General features: G+C 46.8%; 1 protein-coding gene across 3 annotated transcripts in view, besides 1 other annotated feature; it reads left to right on the plus strand.

Moving 5' to 3' along the window:
- The window catches only part of VAX2 (ventral anterior homeobox 2), a 32871-nt gene continuing 16295 nt past the window's right edge, over window positions 2491-19066 (plus strand). For all 3 annotated transcript variants that reach the window (NM_012476.3, XM_011532751.4, XM_011532750.4), the window contains exon 1: window positions 2491-2783. In NM_012476.3, the coding sequence (NP_036608.1) occupies window positions 2537-2783 (247 nt within the window). In that variant the 5' untranslated portion in view covers window positions 2491-2536. The remainder of the gene's footprint in view (window positions 2784-19066) is intronic.
- Window positions 3626-4519: an enhancer, noted in NCBI's record as "H3K4me1 hESC enhancer chr2:71128841-71129734 (GRCh37/hg19 assembly coordinates)". NCBI's record gives its function as "activates a minimal SCP1, AML or CMV promoter by ChIP-STARR-seq in naive H9 embryonic stem cells {active_cell/tissue: H9 hESC(naive)}" and the evidence as "EXISTENCE:reporter gene assay evidence [ECO:0000049][PMID:30033119]".

Here is a 19066-nt window from a genome sequence, read left to right on the forward strand (position 1 = left end):
CCAGAACCTCCGGGGTCCTGGCTCCGAAGGACTCTATGGGAGGCTTCTGACTTTTCCCAGGAGTGTGCTGACACCTAGGACCTCATCCATGGGCCCTGGAAGAGGACTCCGGGACTAAGACCCGAGTTACTGGTGTGGAAAGATGCCATTTGTGAAATGAAAAATTAAAACGATGACAACAAACAAAGCCTGGCACGGTCCAGCAAGTGCTGTTTTTCTGTTTTTGTCTGCACAGAAACTGGGGTCTCATCTGCAGCAAGCAGAACCGCTAGAGCTGGGGGTAGGGGTGCAGTGTCCAGGCAAGCCGAGTGTTTGCTTATATTTCTGTTTATAATTTTTGTATACTAGATGCATCTTACTCAAGTAATAAAAATAAACTTGAGAGAGCCAGAGAGGCAAAAAACTGAAGTGCAGAGTAGAAGTGGTGGTTGGGTGAGAGACAAGACTTTTGGGGAGCTTGGCGGATGGAGAGGGAGAGGGTCTGACCTGCATGGCAGTCATTAAGGAGTTCACTGCCACTCCCAGGGCCTGGCCGGGAGGAACAGAGTGCAGAGCTCACCGCACATCATGCAACATGGATTCCTTCAGCCGAGCTCGAGCTCGGTTCCACTGGATCACACTTTCCCCAGGACCCTCCTGAAACCTCTTTCTCACTCCTCCCTCCTACATACATATACATTCCTACAGCCCCGTGCCCCAGGCCCACAAACTCTCAGCACCTACAGGTAGTCCACGCTGCTCTCCCTCTGAACCGTAACTTAAGCCTTGGGCTCAATCCCACCTTTCCTGCCCCCCCGCCCAAATCACTTTGTGGCTGCATTTCCCTTCCTTCCTTCCTTCCTTTTTTTCTTTCCTTCCTTCCTTCCTTCCCTCCTTCTTTCCTTCCTTTCTTCCCCTCTTCTTTCCTCCCTTCCCTTCTTTCCGTTAGTATTACCAGCAAGACCTCCCGACCTGCCCTTTTTACCCTCCCCTTTTCCTAGGTTCCATACCCTAAGTGGAGTAGTTGTTAATCACTCAATTAAATAATTGGTGTGTGTCCCCCCCAACCTCACCTTCTGCCGGGAACATCTGGCATCGGAAACACACAACCATTCACATGCACATTGGACACACACTATGCCACTGAAACACGCACACACTCATACACCTGCTTTCCCACTCACAGGGATAATGGAGGCTGCACCAGGGACACACTCAGCCATGCTACAGCCACTTTCACGGGCATATCCACGCCAGCTCTCACAGACACCCTTAACCAGATTATTGGACAGACCAAAGCACCCTGCTCACGCCAGCAGGTCAGAAAAACGAAGGAAAGTCTGAGATTGTAGTGCTTTAGGGGAAGGGTCACAGGCCTTGTTGCTCGTGCACACATTTGCACACACACCTTCGTTCTCAATCTTTCGTCCAGGCCCCCTTCTGAGTCAAAGAAGGCCCCTTCTGGTGCGTTGAGAGAGACACTAGGCTCGGGAGAGCGCTGGCCTCTCCAGTAAATGGTGGGGATCCGCACGCCTCAAAGGGCTGCGCCCCGGGACCCCAGCTGCTCCGCTCCTCACAGCCTGACCCTGCTTCACTTCCAGCCGTGCTCACCTCCGCCCTTTACCTCTCCTCAGCCTCGGAGAAGGCGGGACCCGGGACAGCGACAGAGCACGGAGAAAGCTCCGCGGGGGAAACAAGGAAATCCCCACCTTCTATCCCTGTCTCGTGGTGCGGTCCCCTGTGACGGCCTCAGACCTGCGGGGAACCCAGGACTTTGCCGCCTACCACGGTCTCAGCCTTATTCTCGAGCCTCTGGGCGCCTGCAACCGGCTGTCTGTCTGTGTGCCTGTTCACTCTCCCCCGGGGATGCGGGTGAGTCGGTCTTCTTGCCTCACTTTGCTAGCCTTATTCGCCCACTCTTGCCTTGCTCTTCCAGGAGGGCCGGGGGAGGGGGTCCTCCGGTCTGGGTTCATGAGTGTGGGTGTGGGTATAAATCTAGGGGTTGGCGCACTGAGCCTAGGCCTGCGCCCCCGCCTCCAGCACCCCCACCGACCCCACCCCGCCAAGCGCCCGAGCAAGGCCAACCTCCTGTTCTCTGCTAGGTCTCTCCGAGGTCGCCTTCTTTGCGCACTTTGGTTATTGATCCTGCTGAACCGGCCGGAGCGCAGCGGCTGCGCTTCTCTGGGAAAGAACGGAGTGGGGAGGTGAGTAGGCTAGGGGAACGGTGGAGGGGAGGAGAGGTTGATCAACTTTAGGAGGGGGTGTAGGGCGTTCCTCAGGGCCGCCCCAGTCTCCCTCTGCCGGGCTTGGAGCAGGGCTAGACTAGGGGTGGAGCGGGACCACCGCTCCCCTCCCCCTCTCCCCCTGGCGCGGAGCCCCGGCGCAGCTGGGAGTCTTGGAAACCTGACTCCCGCCCAATCAGCAGGGAGGGGAGGAGCAGCGGCCAGGAGCGGGGCCTGAGGAGGAGGAGTCGAGCGGGGGCGCGAGGGGCGGGGAGCGGCGCTCCCGGCCAGCGTAGGCTGGCTCCGCCGTAGAGGGGTTGGCAGTGGCGGTCAGCATGGGCGATGGGGGCGCCGAGCGCGACCGGGGCCCCGCGCGCCGGGCGGAGTCTGGTGGCGGCGGTGGGCGCTGCGGAGACCGCAGCGGAGCGGGGGACTTGCGAGCTGATGGCGGTGGCCACAGCCCAACGGAGGTGGCCGGGACCTCAGCCTCCAGTCCCGCAGGCTCCAGGGAGAGTGGAGCCGACAGCGACGGGCAGCCCGGGCCCGGCGAGGCAGACCACTGCCGCCGCATACTGGTGCGAGGTAAGGGGACAGCCCGCGGCCCTGCTCCACTGGACCCTCACCCTACCCATACTGGGGCCCCCGACCTAGCTGCAGCTGACACCTCTCAATTCATATATTCATTCATTCGTCATCCAGTCATTCATTCAGCAAATATTATTTTGAGCGTCTATTGTGTGCTGGACATTAAGCTGAGTGCAAGGGACAAAGCAGCGAATGGGACCGAAGCGGTCCCCGTTTCTCCGCCTCTCGGGCCAGTCCCCTAGTTCTAGGCCCATTCGGAACGGCTACTGTGGCGGGGGCAGAAATGGAGTGCGGGATGCTGAGAGCCTGGACTCCGTCCCGTGACCCTCAAGGCAAGTGCGGAGAAAAGCGTCTTGCGCGCTCCGCGGGGACAGGACGTGGAGGGAGCAGCGTCGGCAACCGCGGGAGGAAAAGGCCCCGGCTCTGCAGGGCGGCCGGGGTGCTTCCTCGCCTCCTGCCTAGCCGCGTTTCCCGTCCCCGGCAATCGGGACCCGCACGGATTGCCCAGGGGAGACGGCGCGGGACGCGGAGGGTGGCGTGCGCGGCGCTAGCCCGCTGTGCTTCACTCTCTCGGTTCCCACTTCCTCGCGGCGCCTGGGCCCAGCCGGCTCTCGGCGCCGCCTTCCCGCGGCCTGGCCTTTCACGTCCTTCTCTTTCTCCCTCGGCCCTCGTCCTCCTCTCGTCTTTCCCGGCCATTCCTCTCAGCCGAACGCGCCTTCCCAGCACCTTCTTCCTGCAAGCTCCTCCATCTGGACTGCGACCGATTACCCAGCTCTTCCCGGCCTCCTCTCCGCGAGGCCGAGGCTCCCCAGGTCCCCAGCGCCAGCCTTTCGCAATGCCAAGGGCTCCGCTTTCCCTCGATCTGGGCCTCGCCCGGCGAGATGAGAGGAGAAAGGGGACTCCGGGGTCTTGCCCTCAGCCCGACCCCAGGCCGCGGCCAGAGCCTGAAGTCCGCTGCCTCCTCCATCCCTAAGCCCTGGGACCGGGAGACCCAGCGCCAGAAGAGGCCACTGGCGGTAATGGCTCCCCCAGGCTCCTTCCTGGGCTCCCTCCTCCCGGCTTCCTCCTGCTGCCTCTTTCCAGCCTCTTCACACGCGCCGCTCGGGAGAGCCACTGGGCCTCTGGAGGCTACCGGCCCGAGCGGATTTCTTTGGCCTCCGCCTGGGGAAGGCGAACAGGCTGGAAGCTGGCCCTGGGTCGTTCCAGCGAGGGGATTATGTTTGATCTGAGCTCGGCTACCCTCAAGCTGACTGGGACACCCTGGGCCAGTTGGGCACTACCTCTCTGCGGCTGCTGGGTGTGGGTGGCACTGGGGACTGGAGGGTAGAGCATGCATGCAGCCCAGTGTGAGGGTGACTGATGACTGCCTTGAATACAGAGACAGGGGCCTTAGCTCTGGGAAACATTCCTGGTGCCAGATGTCACTGGGACAGTAGGTGCTCACTGCTACTCATAGTTGACTGCTTGAGTCAAGGCAGTTATACCATCAGGAATTCCAGCAGGTGTGTGGACCTGTTGGGCACCAGGGATTAAATCCGATTTTATTCTTTAGACTGTGGGATGTCTTGAGTGAAGGCATAAGCAGACCTTTTGGTTCCATTAAAAATATCTGTAGGACTGCCAGAGAAATCAGTCCTCCAATCCCACACATTCCCAGGGGAGGATCTAAAGTCACTGCCTGTGACACTCATCACCTTGAACCCCACCTATGGGTGGACATTTTCTTCCCCCCAGGACAATTGTGAGTTCTGTGCCCACCTAACATCCTCTCCACTCTACTAACCCTGTATGTAGAGCAAATAAGTTTTGTGTACAGATGTCAATTAAATAGCCTTCAGGGGTAAACTCATAGGAAGTGGAATTCAAAAGTGACCCTCCACCCTGTGAGGTGGGGCCACCCAAGCTGGGAGCAATCCACAGCCAGGCAGAGATGGGCTTGCACTGGATGTGAGACAGCCTGTGTGCGTCTTCAGGGGGTGTACTTTTATAAATGTATGTGCACACACAGAGGTGCCAATGCATTTGTAAAATATAATCGAAATATTAGACATAAAGCATAGAGGATATATTTACACACTTGACAGAAATGAAAGGCAAATGGGGCTTTTATAAATCCCTCTGCCCTTCCCCATTTAATGATAGGGAGGTTATTATGGGCCTGAAACGCTCAGGATGTGATTTGCCACTAATCTCTCCTAGCCAGGGTCACCTGTGTTACTGGCAGTCCCACCATGGCTCAGGGCTCTGATCAATGAAACAGGCCTGGCACTGGTGAAGGAAAGTCTGAACTAACTGCCTTGGCCCCTGAATGAACATTCCTTCCATAGGCCTTCAATACACTTTGCCCTTGACCTCAGAGAACACATCCTCCCAAAGAGCCTTTGGAAGGAAACCACTAAAAGGTAAAAGGGAGGCATTTGCCCTTGCTGTCCTATGTCAATGTTGGGTTGGGGCCTCCCCAGGACCTGTCCTTTCTTGGGGAGGCCTCACCCCTTCTGGGTCCTTTCTGCCTCCCTTTCATTCTGCACTCCTCCACCTAAGGGCATACCACAGGGGGGTGGGGGGCAGGTTTGTTGAGGGAGTCCTTTGGCACAGGGAGTAGGAGGAGAGCTTGGGCACCAGAGTTAAGCAAAATTGGTTTAGATTACTGACCTTATAGCCCTTTAAACCTGAACCAGTTTCTTTGTTTCTCTTTGCTTGTTTCCTTATCTTACAAAGGGACCCATAGCCCTTATCTTAAAGGACTTGCCAAGAATCAGAGGTGATGTCTATAAAATTGCAAACACCCAGTAGGATCTTCATAAATATTTGTTGACAGAAGGAAGGGTGTAGCTCTGAGGTGACCCACGAACCACTTTTGATGGGTGGGGCAGTGGACCTTCGTTGTCTGAGGCCTCTCCCAAGTCACCCCTTTCCCCCTCCTTCTGGCTCTGGGCCCGGGGCCTGGGCTGTACTGGAGGTGAGCACCTAGGGGTTAAGAAGCCACTAATGGTAAAGGAAAATTAGCACCATCTTGCAGACCACACAGTGCAGCCCTCCCCAATCTCCTTGGTGGGACCCTTTTTGGGCCAGTGACTCAAGCCTCTGCGAATACAGGGTGGAGAGCCAAAGAGGCCAAACGTGGTGCGTCTCCTGCCTCAAAATGAAGACTCCTACATGTCACACATGGGCACGGACCAGAGCTGCTGAGATGATAGGCCGGGCGCATAACAGGCACCCCGCACATCGCACCGCGGACGCAGCGATCCTCCCATTTGTACCCTAAGGCCTGAGAAGGCCGCTCCACACCTCCGCGTGCACAGTCCCTAGACCAGTGAGGGCGGGGACGGGGAAATCCTTTTGTTTTATATTGGAAACCTTACGCCAAAGGCAGGCAGGAAGCAACCAAAGGAACAACAGGCCGCCTGAGCCGTGGCTCAAACAGCACAGGGCAGTGGCCGAGCACCAGGCTTTTCGGTGGAGCTGGGATACCAGCAGGCAGAAGAGGTGGACAACTCTGACCGCAGACTCCCTACAACCCCGCGATCGATGCTCCACCTGCACGCTCAAACGCACCTGTTTCCCAAATTAATCCAGACGCGAATTTAACGACCGATTTTGATAGATCCGGGAAATTCTGTCCACCAGCGTCACCCAACACAGCAACTTTTACAGACAATGCGTGGCGTCCGTTCCTGCTCACCCAAAGCGGCCTCTCTGGGCTGACAGCCACCCCTGCGGGTCCTCAAACCCCACTCGAAACCCTCCGAACCCCTGTGTCTGGGAGCAGTAGGGTGGGATGACTGCAGGATCCCTTGAAGAAGTGACTCGCTGCAACCCCACCACCAGCAGCAAAAACGCTTTCACCCGGGAGCTGCATGGATGCGCGGATGGCTGGGGGCTGAGGGGACGCGTGAAGCCCAGGCCTCTTGCTTGGGCTGGGCGATTCCCGCCGTGGGACGGGTGGGATTGACCTTAGTGGAGTCCAGTCCTTCGGAGAATCCGCGGGCAGTCGGGACCCACGCTCCGGAAACACCCAAGTCCGAACTCGTACACACAGCACAATGGCGTGCAGCCGCCGGGGCCCTAACTCCCAGAGACGCGTCTGAAGAAGCCATACAAGGGGGCGCAGCTTCGGGGCTCTGGCTGGGAGGTTACTGCAGGGACAGACGCCTCGCCTCCAGCAGCCGGGTCCAGGCTCAGGGCCGGCCGGCCTCTGCTCGCTTTCTGCTTGGATTACCAACAGCCACTGGGCTTGGGGAGATCGGCCGGGCCGCAGGCCTAGCCCTGCTGAGCAGGCGTTTAGTAAGGACCACAGGACTTTAGTCTCAATATCTGAGTCTGTTAATAGACCTGACAACCGAGGACCAGCCCCCAAGGCAGACGTGGAAAGGTGTAAATGGTTCATGCAAGGAATTGCACTTTGAGATTTTTGTATTTGTTTTATTTTTTGGTTTTAGCATTTGTAGAGGGTTTCTTTTTTGTTTGTTTGTTTTCTTGGAGTTGCTTTACGTTATTTTTTCCTTTTACTTGTTTTCGGCAGGAGGCCCACATTCCCATAGCGTGCCTATTCCTATGCCGGGCCCTCTCATTTGGGTCTTCTTTTGTTTCCCCCCCTTCCATAACCCTTACCCCCACAAACACACACTGAAGCAGACCAGCAACCCGAAAAATCATCTTGTAGGTGTGTCTTGTGTGCCCAGTTTTCATTTTCAGGGAACGGTTCAGGAAGATTAGACAGCTCCTTCCCTCCTCAGGCGATTTCTGTTCCCCGCCTGGTCTGGTAGACCCAGGAACCCATGGAACTGCCACCGCATCCCCTTGCCCCACACACCTGCATCTTCAGGGATGGTCCCCCAGGTAGCTTCTGGGGAGTCCGAGGGGCAAGGAGGCCAAATCCTTTGGAAGCCCGGACAAGGAGTGGGTACCTGGGGCTACAGGAAAGGGAGGAGATGGCAGTGGCATGCACCCGCAGTCAGTCAAAGCCACCGGGCTCAAGTCTTCCTCTTTTGCGCAGCACCGGTAAGGAGAGAGGGTGTCTATGCATCACGTTGGCCTGGGTGCCATTTCCCCAATTACCCCTTGGCTGCAGGCTCCCTTCTTGTTGGCTACATTTCTTTGATTTCTATTTTAATGGTGGGAGGTGGAGCATATGAATTTTGCCTATTTGCTCCTTGCTTAATATAAAATCACAAATAATGCTAGACCTGACTACCCTTGGAGAGCCAGTAGCCGGTTACCTGGCTGTGCATCTGCAGATTCTGTACCCCAGTTCAAGATACTCTGATAGAAGACACCAACGCTGCATGGGCCTGCCCACCAATCCCTGCGGCGAGACAGGTCTAGGAGGCTAGTTCATTCCTCATACCCCCAACCCAGCTCATCCGGGAAGGCAGTTGGGGGTTTCAGTGTCCTGGGTTCTCCCACTGTTGGTGGATGCTGACTGGGGACATTCAGCACTGCAGAAAGAGGTAGCAGCCCCAGGCTTGGATGTGGCCTACAGAGCCAGGGTGAATGCACCCGGAAAGTCAGGGTGAGTGCCAGACTGAAGGAGTGTGCTATAAGGCCCTGGCGGAGGCTTGGGCTTGTAAAGGCTCAGGGCCCTCCTTGAACCATCTCCCCCGTGGCCTTAACATCTTTTATTCTTTCTTTTTTTTTCTTTTCTTTTCCTTTTTTTTTTTTTTTTTTTTTTTTTTAGATAGAGTGGTTGCTCTGTTGCCCAGACTAGAGTGCAAGGGTGCAATCATAGTTCACTGTAACCTTGAACCTCTGGGCTCAAGCGATCCTCCCTCATCGACCTCCCAAAGTGCTGGATTACAGGACTGAGCTACCGCGCGTTTCTTGTTCTTTAACTTATTCTACAAACATTAATGCGTACTCACTGTGTGCCAGACTGATCCTGGCTCAAGCTGCTGGCACGCAGCTTCCCATAAATGTAAGCTGTTTCTGCCCAGCTCCCACAGTCAGGCCAGAAACAGCTGGGTAGAGACTTCCCCGCTGAAGTCGAGGGGGCGGGCTCCCCGAGCCTGCTTCCCTTGAAGCCAGGCAAAGACCACGTAGGAGGTGGTCACTGTGCCCACCAAATCCAGGCGATCTTCCCGGATGCTTTTAGTGCACTGTAGGCACTCAATAAATACTTCTCGAATAACTTAAATGGGACAAAATTCATCAACATGGCATAATTCTGTAGGTATTAATTAGGCGGCCAACGCCTTCTCCCGGAAGAACGTGTGTTCTAATATTATCTTATTTTTTGACGTTGCAATGTCCTTCTTATATGAAACAGTGATCATGGCAGAACATAGAATAATTGTTAAAGCATGAAGTTGACAACCCCATAGTTTCGAAATTTTGTTTCTGCAATCCGCAGCTTTGGGAAGCACTGAATTACAAAACCTGAAAACCCTCATATATGTGGCGGCTTAGAGGCCGGCCTAGGCTGGAGCGGAGGTCTTGGGAAGCGCTGGGCCGCTCGTAAAGTCAATGGTGAGTCTCCCGGCTTTCGGCTTTCGGCTTTCGGCGGCAGCCGGGTGTGAGGTTCCACGGGCAAAGCCAGCCAGAGGGTTGACAGAAATAACTGGATAAATCTGTGCCCCTGCCCCTGCCGGCTCACACGGCTGCAGCCCACGGCTGGAGCCAAAAATAACCGCGCAGTTGACGCCACGGTTTCTTTAGCGTCTTGCTGGAGACATTGACTTTCAGAGCCCCTGTCCCGCCTTCCATTCCCCACTACTTGGCAGCCCACCGCGTCCACCCGCGGAGCTGCGGAAGCCAGGGCCGGGCAAAGGACACTCTACGAGGCACAGCCTCCGGCAGGGCCACACTTACAATGTAGACAGGAAAATAGAGGATTTAAATTCAAAAAGTAATACGAGCTCGATTTTTTTAAAAACCGGAAGCAAAGAAGGATCCCAGGAACAGCCACTGTTTTCAATTCTGGGCGAGTCCTTCCAGGCGATTTTTCCACGCTCTTATAGACGAACAAATAAATAAAAGCAGAACTATATTTCATAGGCTGTTTTGCAATTTACCATTTCAAAAAAATTTAATCTGCAGTGATCATCTTCTCTGCTGAACCAGTTCTTGCTGTCCCTTGACTGTAGAATTAAGTATTCCTTTAGTTGGGGAAAGCCTAATTCCCCTAAAGACTGGAGGGACCTTGGGGTTGTTTTTCCTTAATATAAACACTGTGAAGTAAGCTCCGAAGGCAGGGTTCTTCTAGACCTTTGACTGTTTCTGTGGGATAAGTTTCTAGCAGTGTAATTACTGCTTCGAAAGATTTACACACACAATTTAAATATATTTCATTTACTGTAATAGGTAATTGTAAAATAGATAATTAATTCATCAAAACATCTTTTTTTCAGACATCAGGAGATGGGAGGTCTCACTATTTTGGGTTTAAGCTGGACTCAAGTGCTCACATAGCTGGGATTACAGGTGGGAGCCACTGCACTTTTTAAAAAGTATCCGGTGAAAAACCTCTCCCATCCCTGTCCCCATCACCCACTTCCCACCTGGTTCAAGGACTTTCTAATATGTCCTTCCAGATAATGTTTATGCCTATGGAAATCAGTGCAGTTATATAACTTTTTTCTTCCAATATATCTTGGGGTGTAAATAACTTTTTGTTTGTTTTTTTTATAGATGCATAATATTCCATTTAAGTGGACTAGGTGGATCATAATGTATATCATATAACCAGTACCCTATTTGTGGACATTTGGTTATTTTCTTATCTGTTGCTATTATATGTAATCCTGAAATAAATAAACTTGTTTCTTAGTCATTTCCACATGTGTGAGTATATCTGTCAGAGAAGTTCCTAAAAGTGAATTACTGGGTCAAATGGTATCTGTGTTTGAAATTTGCAAGATAATGCCCAATTGTTTGTCCTCCATAAGATGGAAGCAGTTTACACTGCCACCAGCGATGTCTGAAAGTGGTTGTTTCTCCAAAATTTGCCAGCACAGTTCACATTTTACATCCTGATGAACATAGTCAAGTTATTCTGCAGGAGAAGTTTAGTTACTTATGTCCACCCCTTTGCCCTGTCCCCACACTGGACATTTTGTATCATTTCATCTTTGTCGATCTTCATATTCATTAGCCAGTTGTATTTCTTCTATCTATTGATTCATTTCCTTTGACCAGTTTAATTTGCAAATATACCTTTTCCTTATTGATCTGTAGAAACTCTATGTATTGCTTTCAATATGTGTTGCAACATTTTAATTTACAATTTATCCTTTGATTTTGTTTAGGATGGTCTTTTGTTTTCAGAAGTATAAAATGTCTTTTTATTTTTATTATGTCATTATATTTATTTTTTAGAGACAAGGGCTCACTCTGTCACCCAGGCTGGAGTGCAGTGGCCCAACAATAGCACACTATAACCTTGAACTCCTGGCCTCAAGCAGTCCCCCCACCTCAGCCTCTGGAGTAACTGAGACTATAGGCACTCCCCACAATGCTGGCCTAGCTTTAATTTTTTATTTATTTTCTTTAATTTTTTATTTTTAATTTTTTTTAGTAGGGACAGGGTTTCACCATATTGAGGAGGCCAGTCTCAAACTCTTGGCCTCAAGCAATCCTCCCACCTGCGCCTCTCATAAAATATCTTTTTAATTACAAAAGCAATCCATACTATTTTGCTATGTCATGTAAAATTTAAAAGTTTCTAATTTCCCTTACATGATACACTTCCACTCCTAAGATTTACCTTCCAAACTTTACCTAGTAATTGAAAAATATAAATATGTAAGTTATATATTACAAAAATTGGATTTTTTTGCAATGACTTTTTTCTTAATTAAACAAATTGTCTTAGCTTGCAAGTAGAGTAAAAGAATATTTGTGGAAATCTTTCTTTCTAGAACTCCCTCATTCTTTTTAACCACTGTATAGGATTCCGTTATGTAGATATCATATAACTTATTTAACTAGTCCTCTATTAATGGATATTTAGGTTGGTTGTACTTTTTCATTATTACAAACAATGCTGTAGTGAACATCTTTGTATCCTAATTTGAACAAATGGTTTGTTTTATTTTTAATTATTCTTATCTTTTTATCCCAGGCAACACCTACCTCATTTATACCATAGAATGAGTGCTCCCTTGAACAAATGGTTTTTTTTAAATCTTATTTATGAGACAATTTGGAACATGTAAAACCAGGTGGGATATTTTATTATATTAAGGAATAATTGTCGATTTTTATTGTGATAATAGTATTATAGGTGACTTTTTTAAGAGTCCCCCCTTTTTAAGAGATACATGTTGAAATACTCATAAGTGAAATGTTATGACTTCTAGAATTTGCTAATAATTACAGCAGAATAGAAGAAAGAAGATTATTCCTGAGTTTCTAATAGTTGAAATTGGGGGATAGGTATATCGGAGCTCATTGTACTGCTCTCCCTAATTTTGTAAATATTTGAAATTTGTCATAATAAACTGTTTAAAGTAACAAGAATCATTTTACATATACATGGTATGAATATAATTACAGGATAAATTCCTAGAAGCAAACTTTTAAAATCCAAGGATATACATTTAAAGTTATGATAGTATTTCCAAATTTTATACCAAAACTCTTATATTGATTTATACTCTTAGCCATCTTGTATAAAAGTGTCATTTCTCTACGTCCTCCCAACTCAGAATATACTTAATTTTTTAGAGTGAAATCTTTTCAAGTGACAGAATAATCTCATTTTATTAGTAGTTTAAATTGCTAGTGAGGTTAAGCATGTTTTTATGTAGTTATTCTTCATTTTAATATTCTCTTCTGTGAATTTTTCATATATTTAGCCATTTCTCTATCGGATCACTAATTGTTTTCTCATCTTCGTAAGTGCCACTTATATAGTAAGGAAATGAGCCCTTTTTCTGTGACATGTATTGCAAACAACTCCCAGGTCACTTTCTTAAAAAAAAAAACAAAACAAAACAAAAAACCCACAAAAAAACAGCAACAAAAAACTTTCTTTGTGGGATTTTTTTTTTTTCTAAACTGAAATTTAAACTCTAACCACATTTAATGGTTGTTCCTTTTTGGGCTTCTAGATTCTAGCTCCTAGTTAGAAAAATCTTCATCCAGCATTTAAAACATTATATATGCATACACAAACATATTAAAATGTTTGCTACCAAAAAAATTTTATTCCCTAGTCTTTTCACCAAAAGAAATAATAAAGAAAGACAAAAAATGAGTTGAATCTTTCCTCCCTGATCGGTTTCCACTCCTCAGAGGCAAGAGAAGAGTGAGGTGCTTCTTTTGCCAGACTTGTTCCTATGTGGTTACAAAAACACAAACACACACACAGAAAGAGTTTACTTTTACTGTTTTTTTAATATAAAAATGGGTTTATGCACACTTGCCATTTCACTTAGTAGTATACAATAAACATCCATCCAGGTTATGTGTCTCATTCTTGTTAATGTTTACATATAGCCAAAGTTATTACTAGACTGTGATTTTATCGACAATTTTCCTATTGATAAACATTCAGCTTTTCCCCCTTTTCTCCCTCTTGCAAACTATGCTACAAACAGTGGGTCTGTATTTATCAACTACGCCAACGTTTCTGTGTGATAGAAAGCTCTATAAAAATGCTGGGACAAAGGAACAGTGCATTTTAAGTTTAGCTAGGCATTATTCCTCTTCAAAAACCATATATTATATCAATTTATGTTCTTATTGAGAGAGCTTGAGAGAACCTAATTCTACTCAGCCTTGCCAGTACAATTTTCCAAATCTGATAGATAAAATATGGCATCTCAAAAAACAAGGATATCTCATTGCTGTTATAACTTTCATTTTTCTGATTCCTCTAGCCCGAGTATTTTTTCATATTTATTAACCACATGCATTTCTTCTTCTCTGAATAATTTGTTCGGTTTCCCACTGGACTGCTTGACTTTACTCACTGGTTTACAGAGGCTGTGTGTATACCAGACATTAGGACTCTGTTAAGAATTCATTATGAATATTTTCTCCCCATCTGTCTCTTACCCTGCAGATGCGTTTATTTTTAGGTACTCAAATATGTCATTTATTTTCCTTTCTAGAAAGTTATTTTATATTTGTTCTTCAATTTTTAGAGCTTTTATTTACATTTAAATTTGTGTTTATTTTTGCACACAGTGTGAGATAAATAGCTTTATTCCAAATAATGAACTAATTGTTCAAAAGCTATGTCTCTAATAACCCTGTCTTTCCTCCAACTAATTCAAAATACTGTCTTCCCAACATACCAGATCCACATAGACACATGAATTTGCTTCATAACTCTTGTGCAGCATTATACCATTTTAGTTGCTGTAGATTTGTAACATATTTGCTGTGTGGTAATGCAAGTATTCACTACTATTGTTTAACTTTTTTTGTTGACTATCCTTGCATTTTCAATGTTCCCAATAAACTTGAGAATGAATTTTCCATAAGGAATTTTTATAGCAATCACATTATATTTGTAGGTGGGGGCAGGAAGGGCCTTGCACACTTAAAAGTCAGCATATTATCGGCCAGGCATGGTGGCTCATGCCTGTAATCCCAGCACTTTGGGAGGCCAGAGGGGGCAGATCACTTGAGGTCAGGAGCTTGAAACCAGCCTGGGCAACATGGCGAAACCCCGTCCCTACTAAAAATACAAAAATTAGCCAGGCGCGGTGGTGGGCGCCTGTAATCCCATCTACTCAGGAGGCTGAGGGAGGAGAATCGCTTGAACCCGGGAGGCGGAGGTTGCAGTGAGCTGAGATCACGCCGTTGCACTCCAGCCTGGGTGACAGAGTGAGACTCCGTTTCAAAAAAAAGTCAGCACATTATCAGCTTATCGTGCAAAGAGACTACCTAGTGCTAGGTAGGAAAAGAAGTGAGATAGGGCTTTGGAGGTGGGGGGGATGTCTATTGGGAGAGGTGCCAGAGGGGCACCAGAGGTCAGAAGCATAAGCTAACTACTATCAGGCCGGGGGTCACCACCTCTCCCAAGCAAAGGCTCTTGGGCAGAATTCACCCTCCCACATACCCTCAGAGCTCACTGCTCTTTGAGGAGACTTGAGGGGTAGCAAAATGCAGGACTCATTTCATTTCACCCTAATAAGTGCCTACCTGCAAGGAAGCCCTGGAATGAAAGCTGTTCCTCTTTCCAGATGCTCCTCCCAAACTCCTCCTAGAAAAGGAGCAACTCAAAAAAAGAGGACTATTTTAGTAAGATAGGCTATATTTTGCTGCAGAGACAACCGCAAATTTTAGAGGCTTAACAAAACACAAATGCATTTATCACTCACAGAAGTCCATCACAAGTGGACAGGGGCTCATCCTGATACTCAGAAACCCAGGCTGGTAAAGCTTCTTCACTCCTGCTTCCAAGACCATCACAGTAGAAAGGGTGTGGCAACACACACACACTCTCTGGTTATTGGGTTTTGTTATTTAGGGCAGGGATGGTAATATCCCCTTATCTTATTTTATTGCCTTCCCAACACTCGTCTTTGCCTTACATATTTTTAAAATTTATTTTTTATTAGAAATAAATTGCTTGAAGGCCGGGTGCAGTGGCTTACGCCTGTAATCCCAGCACTTTGGGAGGCTGAGGCGGGGGGATCACTTGAGCCTTTTGAGACCAGTCTGGCCAACATGGTGAAACCCTGCCTCTACTAAAAATACAAAAATTAGCGGGCATGGTGGTGGGTGCCTGTAATCTCAACTACTCAGGAGGCGGATGCAGGAGAATCGTTCGAACCCAGGAGGCAGAGGTTGCCGTGAGCCAAGATCACGCCACTGCACTCTAGCCTGGGTGACAGAGCGAGACTCCGACTCAAAATAAATAAATAAATAAATAAATAAATAAATAAATAAATAAATAACTTTACATTTATTATCTGTCTCCCTCCCCAGTACAAGGTTTACAGGAACAAATGCTTTTCTCTTTTGCTCATTTCTGTATCCCCAGGCCCTAGAATAATATTTGACAAATAAGGGCTTATTAAATACATGTTGAATGGTTGAATATATTCAGTTGTTTTAATCTACATAAATGAGATTAAACTACATGTTATTCTGTAACTTACTTTCATACACTAATGTCTGTTCACATAGCTTATTGCCTCATTCTTTTCAATTATTACATGGTATTTTATAATACAAATGTACCACTATTTGTTCAGCCATTTCTCTTGTGGAAAATACTGAGGATGCTTTCAAATTTTTGGTGTTTTGAGCAGTGCAGCAACACACACCATTGTTGTATATACTTTGGAGCACCTGAGCCTGTGTTTCTCTAGGACAAATACCAACGAAAATAAAATCAGGCCAGGTGCGGTGGCTCATATCTGTAATCCCAGCATTTTGGGAGGCCAAGGTGGGTGGATCACTTGAGGTCAAGAGTTTGAGACCAGCCTGGCCAACATGGTGAAACCCTGTCTCTACTAAAAAATTACAAAAATTAGGGGGCGTGGTGATGGGCACCTGTAATCCCAGCTACTTGGGAGGCTGAGGCAGGAGAATCACTTGAACCCGGGAGGCGGAGGCTGCAGTGAGCATTGATATTGCACCACTGCACTCCAGCCTGAGCAACAGAGTGAGACTCTATCTCAAAAAATAAAATAAAATAATTGGAGCAAAAGTTATGTGCATCTTTAATCTTGATAAATGCAGCCTTAAAAGATGGACTCAATTATGGTTCTATTAATAGCGTATAGGAGTGTAGATTTCCCTACAGTGCACCATTGTTATTAATTGTCATCATTGTTTTTAATCACTTGTTAATGTCCTTTCAACCTTATGGGATATAAAGGGCTTTCCATTGTTGCTGGAACTTGTATTATATTGATTACTATAAAGCTATGCTTATCCTTTCATATGTTTATTGGCCATTTAGCTGTCTTTTTTTGTGAATGACCCAGATAAATTACTTGACCATTTATTTTATCAGGCTATTTACTTAAATTTTTTTTTTTTTTTTTGAGACAGAGTCTCACGGTATTGCCAGGCTGGAGTGCAACGGTGCGATCTTGGCTCACTGCAACCTCTCCCTCCCAGGTTCAAGTGATTCTCATGCCTCGGCCCCTGAGTAGCTGGGATTAGAGGCGCACGCCACCACACCCAGCTAATTTTTTTATTTTTAGTAAAGAAGAGGTTTCACCATGTTGCCCAGGCTGGTCTCCAATGCCTGGCCTCAAGTGATCTGCCCACCTCGGCCTCCCAAAGTGCTGGGATTACAGGCATGAGTTACCACAACCAGCCTCTTTGACTCTTAAATGTATTTTTTTTTTCAAATCTGTTTCTTGTACTTTACCTTGATTTTGGTGCTTTTGTCATCCAAGTTTTTAGCTTTAATATAGTCAAATACATCCTTTGTGTTTCCTTTACAGCCTCCAGTTTTTTTGCTGTTTGTTTTTTGTTTTTTTTGAGACCGAGTCTTGCTCTGTCTCCCAGGCTGGAGAGCAATGGCACAATCTCAGCTCACTGCAACTTCCCCTTCCCTGCCTCAGCCTCCCAAGTAGCTGGATTACAGGTGCCTGCCACCGCATCCAGCTAATTTTTGTATTTTTTAGTAGAGACGGAGTTTCGCCACGTTGGCCAGGCTGGTCTCGAACTCCTGACCTCAGGTGATCCACCTGCCTCAGCCTCCCAAAGTGCTGGGATTACAGGCGTGAGCCACCACGCCTAGCCTACAGCCTCCAGTTTTGCAGCTTGCTTAGAAATTTCATCCCAAGCCTAGCATTCTAAAAACATCCTCCTATATTTTTTTGTAATGCCCTTATAATTTTATCATCTATGATTTGGTCTTTAATCCAGTTGAAATGTGTTGTTATTTATGGAGCGAGATAGGAATTTAACTTAATTTTATTCCAAACATACAATTTATGGTCACCAATCTGCTTAACGTGACTTATTGACTAAATCACTCTTTTCCCATCTTGAATGCCCTTTTATGATAAACTCTATGACTATGGATACATGTGTCTAATATCCCCTTATCTTGTACTTCCCATGCTATTGTTTCCCCACATGCAGTCATTTGAGTCCCATCTTCATTTGTTATATTAATATTCCATTTATTTTCTTAATATTTTAGCATAATGCATTTTAAGATTAAATTTCCACTTTAGCCTCACCCTAAGCCTATAAAATTATAGGTTTAAATTTTTTTCTAGTAAACATTAAAATAAATGCCTAACTTTTTAAATGACATGCTTATTTATGTACAATTTTAAATCATCTTACAAACCATAAGTGGAATACAGAGACACTATCGTGTTTTTTCTACTAATGGATTTGTCAATTTCTGTGACAACACATCACTCTAGCTTTGTGGCATGCTTTTGTTGTCAACTTTTTATTTTGAAATAATTATAGACTCGCAAGGAGTTATAAAAATAGTACAGAGAAGTCCCATGTATCCATCACCTAGCTTCTCTGTAGATGGCATTTTACAAACCTATAGTACCTTATCAAAACCAGAAAATTGACATTAATACAATATAATTAACTAGACTACAGACCTTCCTCAGATTTCACCTGTTTTTCCTTGCACTGTTTTTTTGTTTTTTGTATATAGTTCTATGACATTTTATTACATATATAGATCCATGTCACCACCACCACAGCCATGATACAGTACTGTGGTGTCACCACAAAGGAACTTCCTCTTACTACTCATTGATGGCCAGGTCCTTCCTCCATCCCCAAATCCTGGCAACCACTGATCTGGTCTCCACCTCTATAATTTTGTTACCTTTATATTAAATAAATGGAATCATATAGTGTATAACTTTTGGGAACTGTTTTTTCCCCTCAGTATAATTTCCTGTGTAAATTGTTGTGTGTTTCAATCGTTCTTCCTTTTTTTCCTGAGTAGTATCCCAGAGTACAGTTACACCACAGTTTGTTTAACCATTCACCCATTGAAGGACATCTGATTTATTTCCATTAGGGGGCTATTACAAATAAAGCTGCTATGATCATTTGTATACAGGTTTTTGTGTGAACATAGGATTTCAGCTGGGCTGAAATGGGATTACAGCTCACGCCTGTAATCCCAACACTTTGGGAGGCCCAGGCAGGTGGATCACCTGAGGTCAGGAGTTCGAGACCAGCCTGGCCAACATGGTAAAACCCCATCTCTACTAAAAATACAATAATTAGCTGGTTGTGGTGGCAGGCGCCTGTAATCCCAGCTACTTAGGAGGCTGAGGCAGGAAAATCGCTTGAAACCAGAAGACGGAGGTTGCAGTGAGCCGAGATCGCGCCACTGCACTCCAGCCTGGGCAACAAGAGTGAAACTCTGTCTC

The sequence above is a fragment of the Homo sapiens genome, chromosome 2, assembly GCF_000001405.40.
Source record: "Homo sapiens chromosome 2, GRCh38.p14 Primary Assembly".
NCBI classification, from domain to species: Eukaryota; Metazoa; Chordata; class Mammalia; order Primates; family Hominidae; genus Homo; species Homo sapiens.